Raw genomic sequence first — 24,342 nt, 5'->3', positions numbered from 1 at the left:
ATTTTGAGAGGTAGATTTTATGTCCCTGACCTCTTCCAGTTCAGGTTCTGAACTCCGTAGATTTTGTTTGATGACACAGACTAGGTTAGAGGATTTCATGAGGCTTTAATCATAACCTAATAATACTGTTAAAAACAACACATCTGTCACTTGCAGAGACCCACAGGGACACACATTCTCTTCCTCTCACATAGACTCTGAGGTAGGAGGTACACTGGCTAAGGAATAAAAAATACTCAGTGGCTGTGCAAGGCTCAGACCAGGCTCACAAGGCTCTTGGTTGAAAAGCAGCCCCTTGAGAGCAAGAGCAGAGGCCAGGCCAGCTTCACTGAGATCCCAGAGGTTCTGACTGGGGCTGCCCAGAGTTGGGCATCCCTGACTTCCGGCATTTGAGATCTAACCCGGGACTGGTTGGTGCAAGTAGGGGATGAAGCTAAGGTGGTAGCTGGTCTTGTTCCAGGTTGCAAGGATAGAATGATGTTCCTAGCACATAAACTGCTCTCGGTGAAGATTTGTTTCACGAATTGAATGAATGGTGTGGGGGAGGGGAGGAAGAATTCTAGAGGACAGTCCCTGTGGCCTTCTAGCCCAGGATAGGGGAGCTAAGGGGTGGGGAAGCCCCTATACCAATCATTTTAGAGGTGGCCAGGGAGGGAGGTGAAAGTTTTGGGGCACCAGCTATACCAATGGCAGGGGGAAAAGAAAAGGTAGTCGTCTTTCCTCCCAAAGTGTCTTGTACGTAATTGGGGCTCTTGACCCTGCAGGGCCCAGCCCTTCTCATCTTGTTCACTGTGAACTCCTTGAAGGCAGGCCTCTGCCCCACTCAGCACCATCCCTGGTGCACGGCCCAGCAGAGGCATCCCACTCTTGCTGAGTGCATGGAGGCCACAGCAGCATCGTTAGCTTATCCTCGCCTGCCTTCTGCCAGCAGTCACTCTCCATCTCTGCTGGCTGGGTCTGATCCTGCTTCAAAGGACGCCGTTCACCTCTCCCTTCACTGGCGAAGCAGCCTCAGCCTTACCCTTGGGAAAAAAGTTCTGTGCTAACTGGGTCTGAGGCAGCTGATACCCCTCTGAGGAAAGTAGACTCTGGGTCCTGTCCACCTGGTCAGGGTTGGGCTCCCAGCATCAGCTAGGGTGCAGCCAGCAGTAGCACACAAGCCACAGAGCCAGGCCCAGAAAGAAGCATCCGCCTCCTACAGGCAGCCACAGCTGCAGTGGAATCCTGCTGGGCAGCCAGGAGCTGTAAGTCACCCAGGTGGCCACCAGGAGAATGCTGTCACTCAGGAGGAAAGCCAAGTGGATGGTGGCCCGGCCTCGGGTGTGGCCCTCAGCCACGTTGAACCAGGAGAAATAGAGGATACTCGGAACTGGGGTCCAGCATGAAGTCTGTGCCTTGAAGCCAAACCCAGAGCAGCAGTACCAGCCACAGGCCCAGGAAATGCAGGGCTACATACTGGGGAAGAGGGCTGAGAACAGGGCCACAGCTAGGACTCGGGGCCACAGTAGCAGCAGGTTCCACAGGACGTAGATCACAGAGGAGCCCAGGCCCAGGAGGGGCTTGGAGGGGAGGCAGGTGTGCAAGGCCTGGTGGTAATCGAGCAGTGCCCACGAGATGCCCAGGAAGGATGTGCAGATGCCAACCCCTGCAAGGAGTAGGAGGGAACAGTGAGTCCAGGAGCCAGCCTGCTTGGCATTCCCCAGGGGTCGCGGGCACCGTGGGGGCCCTCCCAGCAACCCTGGGGTAGGTATTAGAATCCCTCGTTTGTTGAAGGCAAATCTGAGGCTGGAGAAGACCCAGCGAGTTCCCGTAACCAAAAACAAAGCTACGACTCCTAACATGGAACCTGCCCCTCACCACAGTGCTTTGCTGCACAGGTGCTATATCCAGGTGGTATTTGTCAAAGATGAGAGGGTGTGACTTGTGGCCCACCCAGCACTCAGCACCCCTGGGCCTTGGCTGCACCCTGGGCGTCTTCCAGGGCCCCATAACCCTTTCTTTCTGGGAAGAACACAAGCCTTTCTTGTGTCTGAAAATCAACAGTCTCAGTTCCCTCTTTCTTAGTCTCAAAAAGGGAGTAGAAAATCCCATGGGGTGGCAACAGGCTCTGGCTAAAGCTGCCCTCAGGGCCAGGAAAGATGTCCCTGCTGTGTGGACAGAAGGTCTCCCCACTCCCCTTCCCTCCCCTCCAAGACCAAAGGCCATCGGACTGACCCCTAGTCTTGATTTTCCAAGATCCAGAAGTTTACAACAGGGGTCCTAGGGTCCTATCCCATCTCCTGGTTGTCCCATCCTGGAGCAGAGGCACAAGGGCCTCCAAGGAGGGATGCAAGTGGCACCGGCACATCTCCTGACTGCTTCCTCCCGTCCCCGTCCATCCCAGTCACTCGACAGACGTTTACTGGAAACCTATTAGGCGCCCAGAACCCACACCTAGCCTGGAAACAGAGCTGTGCCTGTTACCCTCACCCAGGTCTCAGCAGGGCTGATGTTCTTCCAGTTTCCCCAGCATGCCACCTTCCGTGACCTTGACAAGCTCTGCCCAGGCTGTTAGGTCACCAAAAGCACATGCCTCACTTCCCTGGCCTACTCCTCCATTACCCCACAGGCCCCACCCTGACCCCACGCCACCCACTCAGCTGTGTCAGGTATCCCTGTAACATGCCACCCACCTCTGTCTGGAGTCTCATCACACAGTAATTATCTATTTCCTTTTCTCTGAGCTCCTCGAGGGTAGAAAACAGACTCTGCTCACTTGGGATCCCCCAGCAGCCCAGTACCTGGCACATAACAGCAGCGAAAGAGAGGTTTGCTAAATAAAAAGTAGGGAAAATCTGTTTCGCCCCCTTACCCCCTGCCATACATGCAGTGCAGACTGTCTGCACTTGGCCCTGGTTCTAGACCTCCCCCACCCTCAACAGACAAAAACATGTGCCCAGTGAGTGCCCAGTGACCCAGAGCAAGTCACTCACCTTTCTGCACCTCTTTAAAAATGGAGATCAACCTAGCACAAACCTATAGGGCTGCTGTGAACATGAGCAATGATGACTGTAAGTGCTTCCCACCGGGCCTGGCTAATAGCTGGCACCTGGCTAACAGTGACAGCTGCTATTATTGTTTTTTCAATCAATACATAGACTCAGACTAACAAGATGAAAGGGCCCTTGGAGATTGAGTCCAACCTCCATCTTCCACAGGAAGGCTCTCCGGGTCACACAGCAAGTGACGGTAGAATGAGGACTGGTTCCTTGAGAGGCTCTGGCATTTATGGCAGCGGTGGAGGAAGGCAAAGGGGAAGGCTTGGACCCTGAGTTGGATGTGGGTGGGGGCCCTCTTTAGCTTGGCCACTGTCTGAGTCTGTGAAAACAGGCAAGTCACCTTCCCTTTATGGGCAAAAACCCTCCCAAAGCTCCTCACTATAAACTTCACCCATGCTTAGGGGGCCCTGTGAGCCTCTGCCACCTGCCTCTCCCTTTTCCAGTCACTCAACATGCTATACAGTAGCTACTTGTTTTAGTCTATCATCCTGGCAGCGCAGGGGCTGGGTTCATCTTGTTCACTGCTGTGTCCCCAGCACAGTAACAGGCAGAAAAGAGAGGCACAATGAAAACCCGACTGGATGAAGGCATTCAATATATTGTTTCTTGTTTCTTTTTTAAAAATTTGAAGAGATGAGGTCTCACTCTGTTACCCAGGATGGTCTCCAACTCTGGCCTCACGCAACCTGTGCACATCCCAACGTATTAAATTGTTTCTTAACAAAAAAGTTACCTACTCTGTATCAGGCACCTTACACACTTTATTATCTTCAAAATTATAAAAGTTACAATTAAGACTTGTGGGCCAGGCACAGTGGCCGACACCTGTAATCCCAGCACCTTAGGAGGCTGAGGTAGGAGGTTACTTGAGCTCAGGAGTTCAAGACCAGCCTAGGTAACAACGTGGGACCTCGTCTCTACCAAACAAAGGAAAAGAAAAGAAAAGTTAGCCAGCATGGTTGACACATGCCTGTAGTCCCAGCTACTCAGGAGGCTGAGACAGGAGGATCAACTGAGCCTGGGAGGTCGAGGCTGCAGTGAGCAATGATCAGGCCACTGTACTCCACTATGGGTGACGACAGAGTGAGACTCTGTACCAGGAACTTATGTACCAGGAAATGGGCTTTCTTTGCATCACCTCACTTAATCCTTTCATCAACCTTATGAGGCAGGAGGATTTATGTCCATTTTTCAGATGAGAACAAACATACTCAGAGAGGTCAAGGCATTTGTCCAAACGCAAACAGCTGCAGAATGACTTTAGGTTTCAAGCCAGATCTGCCTGACTAAAGCCTGTTATCCTGTTTTCTAAGCAGCCTTTATAAAAGAATAAAAACAGTTCTGACATTTGAGAGAGACCTCCCAAGCCACGACAGGGGGACCAACCATTGGCCTTCACTCACACTGGTAGTACTCAGCCCAGCCACTCTGCAGCATGATGGCCAGCACCAGCGTGAGCTGTGGTGCCGTCTCCAAGGTCTCAAAGAGCCGCAGCATGCTGATATCCAGGGAGAGGAAATTGGCGTAGGCCAAGTCAAACTCAGAGGGCTCCTCCTGCTGCCACACCAGCAGCCCCTGCCCCCGCTCCTGCATGCACCTAAGCAGCACACACAGATGTCCAGAGGGCCAGGTTAGCGTCCTGTGAATTCCTCAGCCTCCCACCCATCTAATGAATGCACACAGGTCCAACCTGGCTCCTCACATCCATGTTATGGGGCCTTCGGCAATGTCCTAACCTCACTGAACTTGTTTGATCTGTAAAACGGGGATCGAGGCCAGGTGTGGTGGCTCACACCTGTAATCCCAGCACTTTGGGAGGCCGAGGCGGGTGGATCACAAGGTCAGGAGATCGAGACCATCCTGGCTAACACGGTGAAGCCCCGTCTCTACTAAAAATACAAAAAACTGGCTGGCTGTTGTGGTGCACGCCTGTAGTCCCAGCTACTCAGGAGGCTGAGTCAGGAGGATCTCTTGAACCTGCGAGGCGGAGGTTACAGTGAGCCAAGATCTTGCCACTGCACTCCAGCCTAGCGACAGAATGAGACTCCATCTCAAAAAAAAAAAAACAAAGGGGGGGATCGATACACCTACTCCTGCTGGCTAAGCACTGTCCCAAGCTCATCACAAACCTTGTCCTGTTTACTTCTCACAAGAGCCCATTTTACAGATGGAGAAACAGGATCAAGAAGCTAATAAGGTCTGGGTGCAGTGGCTCACGCCTGTAATACCAACGCTTTGACAGGCCAAGGCAAGAGGATCACTGGAGGCCAGGAGTTTGAGACCACCCTGGACAACACAGCAAGCCCCATCTCTACAAAGAATTTTTTAAAATTAGCTGGGCCTGGTGGTACGAGCTTGTAGTCCAAGCTACTCATGAGGCTGACGCAGGAGGACTGCCTGAGCCCAGTTCAAGGCCACTGTTAGCCATGATTGTGCCACTGCACTCTGGCCCAGGCAACAGAGACCCTGCCTTTTTTTTTTTTTCCTCTGAGACAGAGTCTGCTTCTGTGACCTGTTGCCCAGGCTAGAGTGCAGTGGCACAAACTTGGCTCACTGCAACTTCCACCTCCCAGCTTCAAGCGATTCTCCTGCCTCAGCCTCCGGAATAGCTGGGATGCTGGGATCACAGACATGCGCCACCACACCTGGCTAACTTTTGTATTTTTAGTAGAGATGAGCTTTTGCCATTTTCAGCAGGCTGGTCTCGAACTCCCGACCTCAAGTGATCCGCCCACCTCAGCCTCCCAGACTGCTAGGATTACAGGCATAAGCCACCAAGCCTGACCAGACCCTGCCTCTTTAAAACAAACAAACAAAAAATTATAAGCAGCTAATAAGTACTGGAATGAGGATTTGGATCCAAACCTGAATTGGAAAGGCATGTTATAAAGTTGCCTGAGGCAGTAGTTCTCAAACTTTAGTGTGCCCATCATCTCCTGGGGTCCTGTGGGCAAGAGGACACTTGCCTCTTGGGCACTTCTGGGCACAGGCCAGGCCAGATGGGATCAGACTCTGCCTTACCCCAGCCACACAGGGGAGGGGCTGGAGGAGGGTTAGATTGGAAGAAGGAATCCCATGTAAGAGGCTGGCCCTGAGTGGTTAAGGATGGAGACTGGGGCAGAGTTAAGAAAGTCCAGAGGTTGGACAGACAGGCCTGAGGTACCCATTGGCATGAAGAGTAAGTGGAGGATGCACCAAGGACCCTCCACCCAGAACTTTGCTCTCAGTTGCCTATTGGGAGGGAATCCCATTCACTCATCACAAGCTCATTCACCAGACATGTACTGTCACTTCCCTTGGAAGGACCCAATAACACACTGAAGAGCAGGCAGGCAGGGTGGGCTTGTCTGTTCTTGGTAATCTCTTGATCTTAACATTTACTATCTGGTTACTAATACATTTTATTTTGATTCTCCTTTTCTCTTGCTCATTCTCACATATTTTTAAATTCAAACTTTTTCTTCAGAAAACAAGTTTTTGGGGCCAGGCGCAGTGTGGCTCATGCCTGTAATCCCAGCACTTTGGGAGGCCGAGGAGGGTGCATCATCTGAGGTCAGGAGTTCGAGACCAACCTGTTGAACATGGTGAAACCCCCAGGCGTGATGGCGCACACCTGTAATTAAACCCAGCTACTTGAGAGGCTGAGGCAGGAGAATTGCTTGAGCTTGGGAAGCAGACTCCCTCTCAAAATTAAAAAAAAAAATACAAAAAACAAAACCAGTTTTTGGTATTATGGGAACAGAAAAGCACATGGTTAGAGAGTAAGCTTTGAAGCCAGATTCCCAGCTCGGCTACTCGCTAGCTGTGTAACATCTGCCAAGTTACTTAACCTCTCTGTGCTTCAGTTTTTTCTATAAAATGATAACAATGGCACATACATCTCATAAGGCTATTTGAAACATAAATGAAATAATCCATTAAAGCACTTAGAAAAGTGACTGGTACATATTAAGTGCTCAATAAATGTTAATTACTATAATTATCAATGCTACAAATTAAAATTTTCACTATTATTTCTTTCATCTTTACTCGGTTCTTTTTGTAGTTTATCACGTTAAAGTAGTAAGATTTATTTTCAGTCCTTTATTTTTATTTATTTACTTTTTTTGAGATGGAGTCTCACTCTGTCACCCAGACTGGAGTGCAGTGGCGCGATCTCGGCTCACTGCAAGCACCGCCTCCTGGGTTCATGCCATTCTCCTGCCTCAGCCTCCCGAGTAGCTGGGACTACAGGCGCCCGCCACCATGCCCGGCTAATTTTTTGTATTTTTAGTAGAGACGGGGTTTCACAGTGTTAGCCAGGATGGTATCAATCTCCTGACCTCGTGATCCGCCCACCTCGGCCTCCCAAAGTGCTGGGATTACAGGCGTGAGCCACCGCGCCCGGCCTCAGTCCTTTATTTTTAAAAATAAATGCAATTAAGTCTATAAACTTCCCTCTAATGTATTTTCCTGCACGACCATAAAAAGGACAGAGGAGGGAGAACCCTGTCTCACTGTTTGAGTCAAGCAATTATAGCCCAAAGAGCAGTGCTTCCATGGAAAACAAACTGAAAAGGAGAAAAATGGAATCCCTGGAACAGATGAGGGATTCTTAGCCTGTGTCCTTATAAAAAGCTGTTAAAATAGGCTAAGTGTGAGCCATAAACATTAAACTACTAACGTAAATCAAGTGTATTTTCTATCTTATACTTCCAGGGTCCTTCAAGATTATCTGATAAGTAAAATTAAAGAATCAGCACCTAAATTAAAGTGCTATACCTAAAACAAGAAACTGAATCAAATAAAATGAAGTTAACAGGGGAAAATGTGAGATGCACCAAAACTGAGACAGGTTTATGACCTGACAGCAATGTGGGTGAAAAGAGCAAGGCTGAATGTGAGCAGACCTCATGTGGAGTATGATGTGCAGTCTTCTATACCCCAACTTTCAAAGAGACCCTGACAAGCTAGAGGGGGGCGCACAGGAAGAGGAGAAGGGCAGTCAGGCTGACGAATGGGCAACAGCCAGAATCTCTCTCCACAGGCAAGAACTACAACCATGGCAGGACATTTCAGGAAGTACATGCTGACAAATATAAAGGAAGAACTGTCTAAAAGACAGAGCTGACCAACAAGGAAGTCAACTATCTTGCAAAGTAGCACTTTCTCCACCACTGAAGTCAGAAACAAACGCTGTATGGCTATGTACAAGGATGCCTGTTCTGAACTCTGGGTAAATCTGGCTGAATGAAAAACCACCTGCACACTGTCCCTAGTTCTACATTCTGCCACAGGCCAGGGCCAATGTCATGTCAGCAGAGCACTGCTCCACAGACTGGCTTAGGAACCTCAGGGGTCATAGCCTAAGGGATTTTCTTTTAGAGCCTGAAAAGTTCATAGTAAATACAAATACTTTCCAGCTTTATAGTTACCTGAGTTTCCACTTAGTCATACCTGAAATCAAGTGTGGTAATTAAGTACACATGTAACAGAAAGGGATGATCTCTAGAAAAGTTGTAGTAAACTCCTTTACTGGGTGGAAGTAACTCAGATAAAATCTGAGTTGTTATAACACTCAAGTTTACATTTTTGGGGATCAGACCTGAAGTAACCTCTTCAAAAGGGTTTTCAGCAGTTATTTCACCAATAAGAATGACAGAATTTTGGAGAAACGTGGTTATTAGCCATTCTCTCAGTTGCATAAGTGACCCTCTGCAGTAAGCCCTCATTCATAAGTCTGGGTAGTTTTTACCTAATAACACAGCCAATTCGCATCAAACCTTCGAGACCAGTTTTTTCCCCCAAGCTTAACAGCACACTCAAATACCTTCTCACACATGAATTTTCTAACACCACACAAAATTTTCCTCTCACAGTTTATCTTAAGTAGGAAGAAGGAAGCCAACAAGGGCAGCCACTTTCTAAAAATTTTGACGTGCTGAGAAAATAGTTCCTGTCCAGATGCTCAGCAGACACCTGTAGCACAGCTTCCTTCACTGACTGTGAAGAAGGTACGGTGTTGCAGCTACACACTGCCACCAACATAGTTTGCATTACCTTGTTCAAACTTGAAATCAATTTAAGAATACTGGTTCATTTCTTTTCTCTTTTTCCTTTTTCCACTGGTTTCTGGTGATAGCTCCTGCCATTTTTTAATGGCATCAGAAAAGGCCTAAAAATTGAGAAAGGGAAAGGTTCCTTCTGTAAATGGAAAATAAGAATACATGAGACAGGCAACCCCCAAATGCCATTTTAACACAGTTTCAGCTTTCTTCCCAGCATGGCTAACAACTGGTAGTGGCGGCTGGGTGCGGTGGCTCAAGCCTGTAATCCCAACACTTTGGGAGGCCAAGGCGGACGGATCCTTTGAGATCAGGAGTTCGAGAACAGCCTGGCCAACATGGTGAAACCCCGTCTATACTAAAAATACAAAAATTAGCCGGGCATGGTGGCACACGCCTGTAATCCCAGCTACTCAGGAAGCTGAGGCAGGATAATGGCTTCAACCCGGGAGGCGGAGGTTGCAGTGAGCCAAGATTGCACCACTGCACTCCAGCCTGGGCAAGAGTGAGACTATGTCTCAAAAAAAAAAAAAAAAAAAAAAAAAAAAAAGGAATAGGCAGTGGTAAAATAAATAGGCAGCATTTCTTTATTTTCATTTTCTCTGACTTTCATAAACTGGTACAGTGGTGGAAGCAAAATACTTACTGACAGATTAAAGACTAACTAGGGAAAAGAAAAACTGTTGGCTGGGTGCAGCGGCTCACACCTGTAATCCTAGCACTGTGGGAGGATGACGGGGGTGGATCACTTGAGCTTAGGTGTTCAAGGCTTGCCTGGGCAACATGGGGACACCCCGTCTCTACTAAAAATACAAAAAAATAGCTGGGCGTGGTGGTCCACAGCTGTGGTCCCAGGTACTCGGAGGCTAAGATAGGACAATCACTTGAGCCTGAGGCAGGGTTGCAGTGAGCCATGATTGCGCCACTGCACTCCATCCTGGGTAACACAGGAGACCCTGTCTCAAACAAAACAAAACTGTCCAAGCTGTCCTTGAATAAGTACAGGTTAAATCACACGACAATGGGCTGGTGAGTCCCATTCTATAGGCAAATCTTCCATGTTGTTTCTCTGGTCAATGCTCCTCTTTACTCTCCCCTAACCTGCTTCCCCCACACTCTTCTCTGCGTGCACCTATATCCACCCCACCCTTCAACAGGATGCTGGAGTTCAAAATCCTTCCACTGGTGAGGATCCCTTTTCTTTCCTACCTTCAGCTTCTCCCTGTTAGATTTTCCTTATCAGGATTTAAATGTGCTCAAGTCAGGGTGGGCGCGGTGGCTCACGCTTATAATCCCAGCACTTTGGGAGGCCAAGGCAGGTGGACCACCTGAGGTCAGGAGTTCAAGACCAGCCTGGACAACATGGCAAAACCCCGTCTCTACTAAAAATACAAAAAATTAGCTGGACGTGGTGGCATGCACCTGTAATCCCAGCTACTTGGGAGGCTGAGGCAGGAGAATCGGTGAACCTGGAAAGCGGAAGTTGCAGTGAGCTGAGATCGCACCATTGCACTCCAGCCTAGGTGACAGAGTGTGACTCTGTCTAAAAAAAAAAAAAAAAAGTGCTCAAGTCTTTGCCATCCTAAAAACAGGAGGGAGAAGGGGTACCTGATGTGAAATGGAAGGAAGGGTGTGTGAGGTAAGGCCATTCTGCCTGGAAGAGGAGGAAGAGTGGGAGCCTTTCAGGAAGACTGGGTGGGACTCCTGACTGTGGCAGGGGATACGAGGCCTCGGGGCTCATGTCCTGTGGCTACGCTGTTAGGGTGCAGGGCAGGCTGGGGTCCCAGTCTGGGTGGCAATGAGAAGGTGGGTGGCTATGATGCAGTGTTTGTCTGAAACTCCTGCTGACTTAATCCCCAGTGTGGCGGTGCTCAGAAGGTGATCTCATCTCTCTTTCAATGCCAGCCCCTCTTTCTTCTTCCCCTCTTTGTAGAGAAACTTATCAAAGGAGCTGTTTATCTGCTGTTTCACCACCTCACCCTTATGAGCACAAGCTTTCCAGCTGTCTCTAATTTGGCATCTACCCTGCCTTTGCACTTACTAATCTATGCTTATTATTGAGTGGCCAAGTCTACAAGTCTACCATCTACATTTTAGTCCTCATCTTGCACAAACTCTTAGCAGCATTTAATAACATAGGCTGGGCATGGTGGCAACCCAGTGCTTTAGGAGGTTGAGGTGGGAGGATAGCCTGACGCCAGGAGTTCCAAGACCAGCCTGCACTATCTAGCAAGACCCCATTTCTACAAAAAATAAAATAGAAAGATCATCTAGGTGTGGTGGCGTGCACCTGCAGTCCTAGCTACATGGGAAGCTGAGGCAGGAGGATGGCTTGAGCCCAGAAGGTCAAGGTTGCAATAAGCCATGATTGGGCCACTGTACTCCAGCCTGGGTGACAGAGAGAGACCCTGTTTCTAAACAAGAATAACCATGATGATGATGATGATGATAATACGGACGCTCCAGTCTCTCAACTTCCTCCTTCCTGTCTGCCTGCCTCCTCCGCTTGGTCTTTACATGTCAGGAGTCCTCTCTTCTCACCTGGTATCTCTGGGTACCTCATCCTGGCTGGTGAGATTTTCCATATGCTGATGACTCTCAAAGTCCTATCACCATAAAACCCAAGGAGATTTAAAAAAAAAATCCTATCTACAGTCTGTATTTTCCAAACTTTCTAGTCCATTCAACCTCCCAATGAATTATTTTTACTCAGATGTCTCACAGGCCCTTCTCAGCACATTGGCAACCAACGTTTCCCAGACTGATTTCATGATTATTTCTCTCCAAAGCAGATGTTTATACTAGTTCTCACCCCAATAAATGATACTAACATCTTCCACGACCCCTTTCACCAAACTCCTATGTGGGTCTGTGATTAAATGTCCCTTGCTCAGGGAGGCCCTTGTGGAGACCCTTGGTCTACCTTAGGTTGCCTCCTGTTTTACCCTTTCAAAGCCTATTTTTCTTTCAGTCTTTTTTTGGCCGGGTGCAGTGGCTCACGAGGTTATCCCAGCACTTTGGGACGCTGAGGCAGGCAGATCATCTGAGGTCAGGAGTTGCTGACCAGCCTGGCCAACATGGTGAAACCCCATCTTTACTAAAAATACAAAAATCAGCCAGGCGTGGTGGTGAGCATCTATAGTCCCAGCTACTCAGGAGGCTGAGGCAGGAGAATCGCTTGAACTGGGGAGGCAGAGGCTGCAGTGAGCTGAGATCACGCCATTGCACTCCAGCCTGGGCGACAGAGCGAGACTCCATTTCAAAAAAAAAAAAAAAAAAGGTGGAAGGGGCTTGGCCTAGACCTCAGCATAAGCCACAGTCCTTGGCTTGGTTCTTCCCTTCCTACAGGTAAGACCCAATGAGTATTTTAACCACTACGATAACTCCACGTTTGTCCTTTGGACAAAAGAAACATCACTGTGTTGCTGAGAATCACAAGAATTTCAGTAGAATAGAATTTAATGGCAGTAAGAGCGACCAAGAGGAGTAAGCCAAGGTCTCTGCTGGTGCGTGCGCTCCTGTTCTGGCCACAGCTACAAAGCATGCACCGTGTGCTGTCCTTCATGGAAGACGCCTGTGTTACCCACCACAAACCAGCACCCTCCTCACCCTCAACCAAGGCCTTTAAGTGCCATCTATTTTAGGATCCTGGGGGGAGAACGCTGGGAGCTGTCAGTAGCTGCCCATTCTCTTCTGAGGGGGCACTGCTGTGTTCCCGGACTCTCTACAGACCTTACGTCCTATCACTGATAACTGAGCCACCTGGGGGATGGATGGTTGTGTGACCTGTCCCAAGTCGGAAAGCAAATCAGGAAGGAGCAGGATTAGAACGCATCTCTCATACTCCTGCATTCCACAGTAGAATGTATTACCCTCCATGTTTTTACGGTCAAAGCAGAACTTCTCTACTTCTCATCTATCTATTATTTCTTTTCATTTAGCCCTTCACGATCAGCAAATACCCATCTATTTATCTTCACCCTCATAAATTCCTTAGCAATCATAAACCATCCCAATTTCCACAAGCTGTTCATTCTGTTACCGTGTGAAGATGTAGTCAAGAGGTGTGACCCCAACAGGAAGACCAAGTAGAGTACCTTTCGGGTGATTGCATAGTGTCCTTTGAGCTCGTGCAGGGCCCACATGATGTCCTGACTACTGAGCACTTTGAAGTCGGCCATGAGGAGGTCAGCAGCTTGGATGAAGCAGTGCTGGTCAAGAGGAGTCAATTTAGAATAGTCAAAAAAGTCTTATTTTAGGCAACTGAAACGAGACAGAAGCATAAAATCAAAGGCCAGGCAGTACATTTCCCATGTAGGGGAAATCATTTTAAGAATTTATGTGCAGAAAAGAATAACATTTGTTCTAATTACTCTATAAGGAAGTTACCAGCCCTATAAGAGAGATGAGAAAATGGTGGCTCAGAGAGGTTAAACAAACCTGTCTGGAGCCGGCAGACTAGTTTTACTAGTTATAACTAGTAAAGAAGTATAGTTGGGGATTTAAACCAATCTTACAGCCATCTTCTTTCCATACCATATTTACAAACAACTATTTTTTTTCTATTATAGAATACGTAAGAGAGATAGTCAAAGAATCTATGGGGAGTTGGAAGATCAAGCAACACATCTTAATAAAGTTAGTTCTCAACCATACTTTACCATGTAACAAACTAAATGCCAGTTTAGATCACAAATAATGACAATGATTAAAGTTTTTAAAAACCAAACTGTTTACATCTTGATATGAGATCTGGTTAAACAGATGTATAGGATACGCTGTATACAAATCTCACATCAAAAGAAAAAAGATATTCCACTCTGGGTAATGATCTGCATGCTGAAGTACTTACAGGGAAGTGTACTGATGTTTTTGCAATTTACTTTGAAATGCATTATCATGAAATGAAACATAACAAAGATGTGCTGATGGACAGACAGAGGACATATGTATGATAAAGAGGATACAGTAAACTGTTAACTTTTTAGTAGTACCAGTGGTAGGTATACAGGTGATCAACGTAAAATATTTCAATTTTTCTGTAGGTTTGAAAATTTTCATAATAAAATGTTAAGAGTTTTGGCCAATTCTTGTTTTGCTTTAGGAATTTGCTTTGTAGGATTACAGATATGGAGGATTCGTTCAATTCTTTGTGGGAAAAGGAAGATAAGAATTACAAGGAAAGATAGAAGTTAAAGACAGAATTCAAAGTGGCTCAGACTGGGAGATCGCACTGAAGTATAGATATATTCTGAAATCCTATGTCCCTCGGCTAGTCTTTAAAAACTTGTCCCAACAAAGCACCTTCTTCCCACAGAGATAACAACAACAACAACAACAACAACAACAAAGCACAGCATTTCCAGGCAGTGACTGCAAAACATGAACATGACACTTGCCTTTGTCTCATCTTGGCTGGCCAGCAGACTGCTACTGGGATTTATAATGATTCTGTCTTCTCTCTTTGGATAATCTGGGTTTTCCAGAAGAAAATTACAAAGTCTGCAGAAACAAATGATGTTACTTTCATACTGCTTCCAAATCCCACACCTGCCCATTGCTTCAAATGCAATGTCTGAAGAATATAGTCCTTAGTCACACGTTACAACTGGCCTATCAAGAAATTAAGATGTTTGTAGCCCAGAAAAACTAAACAAATAAACAAACAACTGCACTGAATTTCTATCTTTGTGAAAGATAAAAAATTTAAAAAGCAATGAACATACTGATTAAGGCAAACTCCTCTGAAGTTTATGTATCAATTGGGTGTTAATGTATTGAAGTCACTGAAACTATTATTGGTTAAACTACAAAATTGGAAAATTTGAAAGAAAAGTAGCTACTCTTTGTCAAGAAAACTATGAACAAGAAAGAAGTGGAAAACTGTGTGTTCACATTTACAGTAAAAACAGTCTGCTAAGAGATGTAATAAATAAATGAAATATAAAAGACCTTCTGTTAATTCATTAATACTTTTTATACCCCTGTGGTAACATAAATCTCTATGGTAATATAAAGCTCTATGAGCCATTGAGTTACACTTCATTTATTTAGCTAGCTGCTAAGCTAGACTGATGAACAGATCATGTTTTCCTATGAACAGACTCTCTTCACACCAAACCCACTAGCTTTGTCTATTATCAGCATGAAATACTTCCAAAGTAAGGCTATATAGAGTGAGATAACACACACTGATGTATCACCACCCAGACCCAACAGATGTTAACTATCCAGGCTCTTCACAGTCAAATCAGACAACCACCTTGGAACGACTGCACAGTAGTGCAGACAGAGTGGGTGGGGTACAGCTCTAGCCACATTCAGTAGCAAGGAAGCTTCTTTGCTCGGAGGGTAATGGGGACTTCCCCTTTTCTCTGTTCTTTCTCTTGCTCCAGTAGATTTCTAAGATGACCTCCTAGGTGCTATACCTGCAGTTCTCACACACTTCCCTTTCTACTGGTTCTCTTTTGCCAGATGTCAATAGTAAGGCCTGTAATAGTAGAACAGGAGGTCTGGCAGAAAGAGGGCAGAGAAAAAGTGCTCAGCTCTGCTCCTTTTCTCATCCAGGTGCCAGTGTTTGGGGACCGGTTTGGAGAGGTTCGTTGATTCTACAGCCCCCGCTGGGGACCCATGTCAAAGCCTTCTCCCTCATCTTGACATCTCAATGCATTTCCCTTTGCCGTTACTTCAGGAGTCCCACATACTCTTCATCTCTAAGCTCCCCCCTTCCCTACCACCACAGCCTGCCCAGTCCACAGAAGACAACGCCAGAGGCCCAAAGAGAGGAAAAAAAGCAGCAAACTCCTCCTATTACAGAGGGCGACAAGAATTCAGAGTACATTTTCCTTTAAAACCATTGTCATCAGTGGTAATTCTCCGTCCTAGAATTCACTGGTGTGCAATGAGGTTATGCAAACCTTTGAAGGCTGACCTGAGAATTAGCCACCAGCAAAAATCGCGTCTGTAGGGAAAGGCCTGAGTTCCAGACAACTCATTACATGTGCATATTTGATGTGGCGACAAACCAGACACGGACTAGCTTTAAAATGGTCTGTTTTTATGTGTTTTCTCAAGTAAATGATACATAAGTACACCTCTACATGAAATACAGATGGAACAGTAGATATGATTTCTTGAAAAAACAAAACATGTTTGAGAGGTTCATCTCTCCCCAATTCATTTTATATTTGCAACAATATTAAGAACTTCAAATACTGAAATGCTACAGACATGAAGTTCCACATGGCAGAAATCAGAAGCTCTCACTATAAACTGTCAAAATTCATTTCTAGTTTAATCCCTTCATTATGCTTACCAACAGAACTCTTCTGGAGGTTAAGTGACATTTGGAGGCACAGGAAATGAAGGACAAAGTTTTTCTTCTACAGAAACAAGTGGTAGCCTCTGTTCTAATATCTGCACCCTGGGGCAAAAGCAGTGGGGAAGCCTGTCGGACTTCAGTCTGCCCACGTCTTCATATGACCTCATGCTTGAGCTGATCTGACATGCTAGCAGTTCTAGAGAAGGCACTCCTGCAAAGTAAGCCAGGCTAGTACTCCAGTTTTTTTTTTTTTTTTTTTGAGACTGAGTCTCGCTCTGTTGCCCAGGCTGGAGTGCAGCGGTACAAGCTCCACCTCCTGCAAGCTACAAGCTCCACTTCCTGGGTTCATGCCATTCTCCCGCCTCAGCCTCCCGAGTAGCAGGCACTACAGGCACCCGCCACCACGCCCGGCTAATTTTGTTCTATTTTTAGTAGAGACGGGGTTTCACCGTGTCAACCAGGATGGTCTTGATCTCCTGACCTTGTGATCCACCCGTCTCGGCCTCCCAAAGTGCAGGGATTACAGGCGTGAGCCACCGCGCCCAGCCGTACTCCAATCTTTCAACCCTTAGATAGTTGTTGCTGCCTTCATCCAACTGAAGTTGACCACGTGTGAGTGAAAGATCTAAGTTAACCAGCCAGAGTAGATTACCTGCCACGTGGTTCTCTAATGAATAGGCCCTTCCTGCTTAAAATGGCCAGATGGTTCCATCTGAAGGCCATTTAAAGACGCACATAAAGCAACTGAGACTGAGCTACAACAAAATCCCAGTCTGCTCAACTCAGCTTTGGGCCTTATTTCCAGTTTCCATTAACATTTTAGTTTAGTTGTGGAGTTAACACTGTCCTAGGAGTCCAGAGAATAATGGAAAGGAAAGCAGTGTCAGGAAAACAAGATTGGCTTGAAAAGATGGAATACAGTGACCGTACATTCCCTTGCTTTTTAGATTTCATGAGAATTTTTATGTGTTTAAAGATCAATGTTTCTGAGTGACACAAAAAGCACAGAGGGACAGCAAGACCCTAAAAATAATTACACGTGTGAGACTCAGGAAGTAGGAGAACAGAACTGTAAGAGAAGGTGTCAATTTGATTACATTTTAGTGATTTTTCTAGACAATCTTGAAGATATATTTAAACATCCCTCTTCATTTGCAGAAGGAGACAAAAACATTGAATATACTCAATTTCTATGAGGTTAAATTGTTAAAAAATACTAAAACATGGTATCTGGTATTCAAATCATTGTTCTATAAATGAGCTAAGTTTATACTTTTCTCTATCATTTACATTTTCTGTAATGAACAAACCTGTATTACATTTCATAACCAGGAAACATTAGGAATTCAAAGAGAAGAGAGAAGTAAACAATTCACACGCAAGGGAAATACAATTAGTAAACAAATATTTGAAAAACACAGCCAATTAGCAAAGAAATGTCACTTATGCTACTTCATGCCTACCCTAGTTAACTACAAAAAATAACATAACTCAGTATTGTCGAAGAGTTGTTAAAGCAATTCACACATATAAGTTGCTTTTTAGATGAGTAGAAGCCTACAAGAAAGTTTTCATTGTAAAAATGTAGTCATTGCTGCTCAATTTTCCTGTAAACCTAAAACTGCTCTAAAAAATAAAGCTTAGTAATTTAAAAAAATGTAGTTATTATCACACCACTTGGAAACCCAAAAAGAAAGTATTTTAAAAGCTTAGGAGGGGAAAAAAATCTCCAACAAACAATTCTGTTGAAGACACAAACATAGCCAATAGGAAGGTGGATGCCAGGGTGTGGGGCAAGTAGAGTTCAGGAGACAAGCAGGAGAATGTTCACAGCTACATTATTTGTGACAGTCAGAACTCAAATGCCTATCAAAAGTAGATGGGAAATTTCATTGCTAAGTGATATAAATGGAATACCACTTAGCAATGGAAAATACATAAACTGTGGCTCTACCCAACGTGAATAAACCTCACAAACATAATGCTGAGTGAAAAGAAGTCAGATGCAAAAGAAGACTATACAAAATCTTTATGTAGTGTTTAAAGAGGATAGCAACATTCTATTTCTTGAAGATTTCTGGGTTGTGGTTCCATAAATGTTTGGTTTGTGATAAATTATTGAGCTGTGCATCTTTATTTTGTTCATTTTTCTTTATGTATATTATATACACATTGGTATACAATAACCAAGTTTAAAAACTATACACAATAAAGAATATGTGGAAAGGCTTCAGAAGAGTGAGTAACTGGCATGTAAATAACCAAATGGCTTTCTTTCCTCACTGTAAGGAAGGTTAAATACCCAGGTAGAGTCTCTTGTTGAAAAATAAAAAATGCTTTAAGAGTTTGGGTAATCCAAGCCGGGTGAGGTAACACATGCCTGTAATCCCAGCTATTCGGGAGACTGAGGCAGGAGAATCACCTGAACCTGGGAGGCGAAGGTTGCAGTGAGCTGAGATCATGCCACTGCACTCCAGCTTGGGCAACAAGGGCAAAACTCTCTCTCAAAATAAATAAATAAATAAATAAATAAATAAATAAATAAATAAATAAATAAATAAAAGGTTTGCAGGGCACGGTGGCTCACGTCTCCCAGCACTTTGGGAGGCTGAGGCAGGGGGGTAACTTGAAGTCAGGAGTTCGAGACCAGCCTGGCCAACATGGTGAAATCCCATCTCTACTAAAAATACAAAAATTAGCTGGGCATGTTGGTGCACACCTGTAATCCAAGCTACTCAGGAAGCTGAGGCAGAAGAATCACTTGAACCCTGGAGACGGAGGCTGCAGTGAGCCAGGATCACGCCACTGCACTCCAGCCTGGGCAAGAGACTGAGACTTCGTCTTAAAAAAAAAAAAAAAGAGTTTGTGTAATCCGAAAACTTCAAGACAGGAATCTAAAGTCGTTTCAAACTGACACTGCCCTCGGGGACTTGAAAGAAGCAAAAGCAATTCTCTATAAAGAAACCAACTCTATCAAGAACTCAAGACATGAGCTTAGAGTCAAACTTAGAAAATACACAAGAAAACGAGGCACCATGGGAGCCAGCAGGAAAAACAGAATATGATTCCCAAGAACTTAACAGATCACAGCAATCAAACTCACAAAGAAGCTATGTTTATTGGTTAAAGAAATTTAAAAAAGACTAAAAATATAGGCAAAGAGCAAAACTCTAGGAAAATAACCAAGAGAATTAAAAGCTAAAATACCATAACCGAAAAACAGTGGATGAGTTAAAAGAAGATTACATTCTACTGAAGAGAAATTTGTGGGCTAGAAGACACATCTGAAGAAATCATCCAGAATGCATCTCAGAGACAAAGAGGTGGACTTAGAGACTTGGAGACTGTGGGAGAAGAGTTACAGAAGACAGGAAACAGCTACAAAATTTCCAGAACTGACCAACATCACCAATCTATGGCCAGGTAGTGTATACTCTTAATGGTTTTGCCTTACTGAGAAGCATGTTAAGCAAAATTGATAAAGATTAAGGGAAGGCCAGGTGCAGTGGCTCACACCTGTAATCCCAGCACTTTGGGAGGCTGAGGTAGGTGGATCACTTGAGGTCAGGAGTTCAAGACCAGCCTGGCCAACATGGGAAACTCCGTCTCTACCAAAAATACAAAAATTAGCCAGACATAGATGGCGCATGCCTGTGATCCCAGCTACTTGGGAGACTGAGGCAGGAGAATCACTTGAACCTGGGAGGTGGAGACTACAGTGAGCTGAGATCGCACCACTGCACTATAGCCTAGGTGACAGAGTGAGACTCCGTCTCGAAAATAAATAAATAAATAAATATAAATAAATCTGATGACGGTGGTTGCCTCTGTACAGAGGTGGGATCAGACAAGGCCACTATTGGCTCCAACAGTGTCACTGTACAAATCAGAAAAAAGTACCTACATTGGGCTAAGTACCTGGAAAGGGGACCTTCCTTCTCAGCCTTGGCAGGGAAGAAACTCACCTGCACCCCAGACTGAGAACTACAGGATAAGATACGAACTTTGAGGACAGGTGTTCAGTGAACTGTCTATTTTGTTTAAATTTACCACCAGGCTGGGCATGGTGGCCCATGGCTGTAATCCCAGCACTTTGGGAGGCCAAGGCGAGCAGATCACGAGGTCAGGGGTTCAAGACCAGCCTGACCAACATGGTGAAACCCTGTCTCTACTAAAAATACAGAAATTAGCCAGGCGTGATGGAGTACGCCTGTAATGTCAGCTACTCAGGAGACTGAGGCAGGAGAACTGCTTGAACCCGGGAGGTGGAGATTGCTGTGAGCCAAGATCACACCACCGCACTCCAGCCTGGGCAACAAAACAAGACTCCGTCTCCAAAAAAACAAAAAAAAATTTACAACTATTTCACCTCTGCAGATCAGAAGGAGGGGAAAGAGTATATTTTTCATTTTATATTCTTCAGGAGAACTTATTTTTTAAAACAGCATATTTATCATAACAAATTTTTTTTAAATAGAGACAAGGTCTCAATCTGTCTCCCACGCTTGAGTGCAGTAGCCTAACATAGCTCACTGCAGCCTTGAATTCCTGGATTCAGGCAATCCTCTTGCCTCAGCCTCCCAAAGTGCGAGGATTAAAGGTGTGAGCCATTTGTCTGGCCCATATTTATCCCTTTTGTAATGAAAATTAACAAATGTGGCCAGGCGGGTGGCTCATGCCAGCACTTTGGGAGGCCGAGGCAGGCGGATCACCTGAGGTCAGGAGATCAAGACCAGCCTGACCAACATGGAGAAAACCCATCTCTACTAAAAATACAACATTAGCAGGGCATAGTGGCACATGCCTATAATCCCAGCTGCTCGGGAGGCTGAGGCAGGAGAATCGCTTGAACCCGGGACGTGGAGGGTGCAGTGAGCCGAGATTACGCCATTGCACTCCAGCCTGGGCAATGAGCGAAATTCCGTCTCAAAAAAAGAAAGAAAAAAAACCAAAACTGCAGAACAAAAAAATACATGTTCCAAAATTCCCCTCAAGGCTAAGCCAGAATCTTCTGGCAAAAAAGAAATTAGGCATCATGGGAGGACAAGACTGGTTCAGCATCACCTGTAGTATTTCAGATCATAAATGCCTAGTGGAGCACTCCTTTATAATCACCACGCCTTCAAAAACTGATGCTGACACTGTCTCTTAAGACTCAATGACTACATATTAACAGCGTCTTGCCAGTAAATTAACAGCTTATTAATCCAGTTGCAATGAATGAGTCTTACACTTCATTCATGCCAGCAATATCATTATCTGATATAATTCTAGTCTAACTAGTCTTTTTATGTCAAAAATGAAATGTCCCTGGATTCTAAATGGTACAAAATAGGTTCATTTCAAAAGATACAGCTGTGATACTAAAAGGAAAAAGCCACAGGGAAAGGGATGAAGTGAGAACAAACAACTTACCTTGTCCCCGATGGCAGTGAAAGTTGTTCAAGTGAATTACCTCTTCATTGTTGTTTCCCTCTTCCATTTTCAAATGCAGACATGCACATACGGGACTGCTAATATCTAAACATGGTGACCATCTGTTTCAAAAGAGCTGAAAAGGAAGCAAAGAGGAACAGTAAGAATGAGGGAGTATCAAAACTCTTGCCATGTATCTGGTCAGGGGGACATCTGAAGCTTATGCTGAAAACATTCCTTAAGAAAACATATCCAAGGAGGTGGGTCAAAAAAAAAAAAACCACACAAACTCAAAACCTATGACATTAAAACATATGTTTAAAATACACATATTAAAGAGACAAAGTACTGACAGAGAAATGACATCTTGATACAAATATGCTAACAAAGAAATGGGCTAAGGGTATTAATAGGCAATTCACAAAAAAGAAAACACAGAAGATGCTCAACCTCACTAATAATCAGGGAAAGGCAAATCAGAAAATGAATTATGTTTCAGCCAGACGCAGTGGCTCAAGCCTACAATCCCAGCACTTTGGGAGGCCGAGGCGGGCAGGTCACAAGGTCAGGAGTTGGACACCAGCCTGACCAACACGGTGAAACCCCAGCTCTACTAAAAAATACAAAAATTAGCCAGGCATGGTGGCACGCGCCTGTAATCCCAGCCACTCCGGACACTGCCGCAGGAGAATCGCTTGAACCCGGGAGGCTGAAGTTGCAGTGAGCCAAGATCGCCGCACTGCACTCCAGCCTGGGCAACAGAGTGAGACTCCGTCACAAAAAAAAAAAAAAAAGGAATTATGTTTCAAACCACTGGGGTGGCAAAAAAGGCAAGTATGTAAGAAATGGGAAATCTTATACATTGCTGGTTTGGATAGTAACTTGGAAAAGATATTCTGAATAGCAATCAGCAATACGCCCTAAATTACAAATGTACATTCCCTGTGACTTAGCAATTCCACTTCCAGGTATATTAGCTAAAGAAACCTCTGTGTGTTCTCCAAGAAATATGCATAATAGAATATACGGACAGGGATGGTGGTCATTACAGCAAATATGCAATAAAAGCAATTGGAAATGGCCTTACTGGACTTCAATAAAGGAATAAATAAAATTCATATGATACAACACAGTTAAATTAACGTTAAATGAAAGTGTGATACCATTTATGTAAATTCATACACAAATTTTAAATACATATTTAAATATTAAATTAAAAAATACAGCCAGGCGCGGTGGCTCACACCTGTAATCCCAGCTCTTAGGGAGGCCGAGGTGGATGGATCACGAGGTCAGGAGATCGAGACCATCCTGGTTAACACGGTGAAACCCCGTCTCTACTAAAAAATACAAAAAATTAGCCGGGCGTGGTGGCGGGCGCCTGTAGTCCCAGCAACTCGGGAGGCTGAGGCAGGAGAAGGGTGTGAACCCGGGAGGCAGAGCTGGCAGTGAGCCGGGATCGCGCCACTGCACTCCAGCCTGGGCGACAGAGCGAGACTCCGTCTCAAAAAAAGGAAAAAAAAAAAAATAATAACGTTCTCTTTGCACTATCAAAGTACCTAGGACAACTGCTACCCAGGCCCTTAAGGATTCACAGAGCCCTGGCGGATTTGTCAGAAATTTCTGTAACCCGCACGCCGCGCACGCTCCACGTTGGCTGCAAGTGGCCCAAGTCTTAGAGCCCTGGTCCCGTTCCACCGGGAGCAGAACCACCTCGACGCGGGGACAGCGGCCTCGCTCCCTGCCCAGCGCCCGGACCCCCGAGCCGGGCCAGCCCCCAGCGCCCCGCAGAAAGGTCTGACGCACTTGCGGCGCCCTCGCGAGTGCCGGGTGACAGTCGCCAAGTTTCACGGAACAACACGCGCTCCAGATGTGAGGGGAGAGGAGGAAAAACGCCGCCCGCCTGGGCTGGGGTTCACAGGCACGGGCCGCCTCCCGCCGCTCCTCCAGGCCGCGCTCGGGTGCACGGACACCGCCTCCGCGGCGGCCTCGGGCCCGAGGGAGGGAAGCGGCCCGAGGGGCCGGCTCGCGAAACTTCGCGAAGTGGCGGGAGGGTGTCGCTCCCGCCTCGCCACCGCAGGGGGCTTGGAGACGCCCAGCCCAGCTCCCCGGCCCGATCCCGCCCGGGCCTCGGCCGCGCCCCTCAGCTCTGTGGTGCTCACGGCCCGCGCCCCCGCCCCCACCCCCGCAGCTCAACGGAGGCGTCACGCAGGGAGGCCGCCTCGCCTCACAGACCCGCCCAGAAGCTCGAGCGCGCCCCGCAGCCGACACTCACTCGCCACTCAACTCGCCGGCTAGCCAGGCGGGTTCGGCGACCTTCGCTACCACGCCGCTTACTCCTCCAAAGCTGCAGCTACGAGCTCCGTGGCAGCCGCTGCATTCCTTCCGGCCCTGCCCCGGCGTCACCTCGCGCAAGCGTACAGCGCGCGTACAGCGCCCCCTCCCGACTAACGACAGGAAGAACCATAGAGGCACTCCGGGTGCTGCGGAGGAGGGACCGGGGGGCTCACCATAGAGAGGGCAG

General features: G+C 46.2%; 1 pseudogene across 3 annotated transcripts, besides 3 other annotated features; it reads right to left on the bottom strand.

Moving 5' to 3' along the window:
* Positions 1-85: 85 nt before the first annotated feature.
* Positions 86-24,270, bottom strand: RNF216P1 (ring finger protein 216 pseudogene 1; annotated as a pseudogene). Of its 3 annotated transcripts, NR_023384.1 has the most exons (8): positions 24,094-24,270; positions 21,819-21,954; positions 14,482-14,584; positions 13,180-13,345; positions 11,624-11,688; positions 9,078-9,192; positions 2,673-2,780; positions 86-1,645 (listed from the first exon to the last, which is right to left on the bottom strand). The product of NR_023384.1 is annotated as a ring finger protein 216 pseudogene 1, transcript variant 1 (transcript). The 3 variants fall into 3 exon arrangements; NR_015449.1 differs by lacking the exons at positions 2,673-2,780; positions 11,624-11,688; NR_023385.1 differs by lacking the exons at positions 2,673-2,780; positions 9,078-9,192; positions 11,624-11,688.
* Positions 23,652-24,031: a silencer, noted in NCBI's record as "silent region_17906". NCBI's record gives its function as "represses an Ori minimal core promoter by ATAC-STARR-seq in GM12878 lymphoblastoid cells {active_cell/tissue: GM12878}" and the evidence as "EXISTENCE:reporter gene assay evidence [ECO:0000049][PMID:35858748]".
* Positions 23,652-24,342: a biological region, named in NCBI's record as "H3K27ac hESC enhancer GRCh37_chr7:5013544-5014142".
* Positions 23,744-24,342: an enhancer, noted in NCBI's record as "H3K27ac hESC enhancer chr7:5013544-5014142 (GRCh37/hg19 assembly coordinates)". NCBI's record gives its function as "activates a minimal SCP1, AML or CMV promoter by ChIP-STARR-seq in naive H9 embryonic stem cells {active_cell/tissue: H9 hESC(naive)}" and the evidence as "EXISTENCE:reporter gene assay evidence [ECO:0000049][PMID:30033119]".

Source organism: Homo sapiens, chromosome 7 (genome assembly GCF_000001405.40).
Source record: "Homo sapiens chromosome 7, GRCh38.p14 Primary Assembly".
In the NCBI taxonomy this organism is placed as follows: domain Eukaryota; kingdom Metazoa; phylum Chordata; class Mammalia; order Primates; family Hominidae; genus Homo; species Homo sapiens.
Note: the sequence above shows the minus strand (reverse complement) of the source record. Positions and strands in the feature narration are given on the sequence as shown.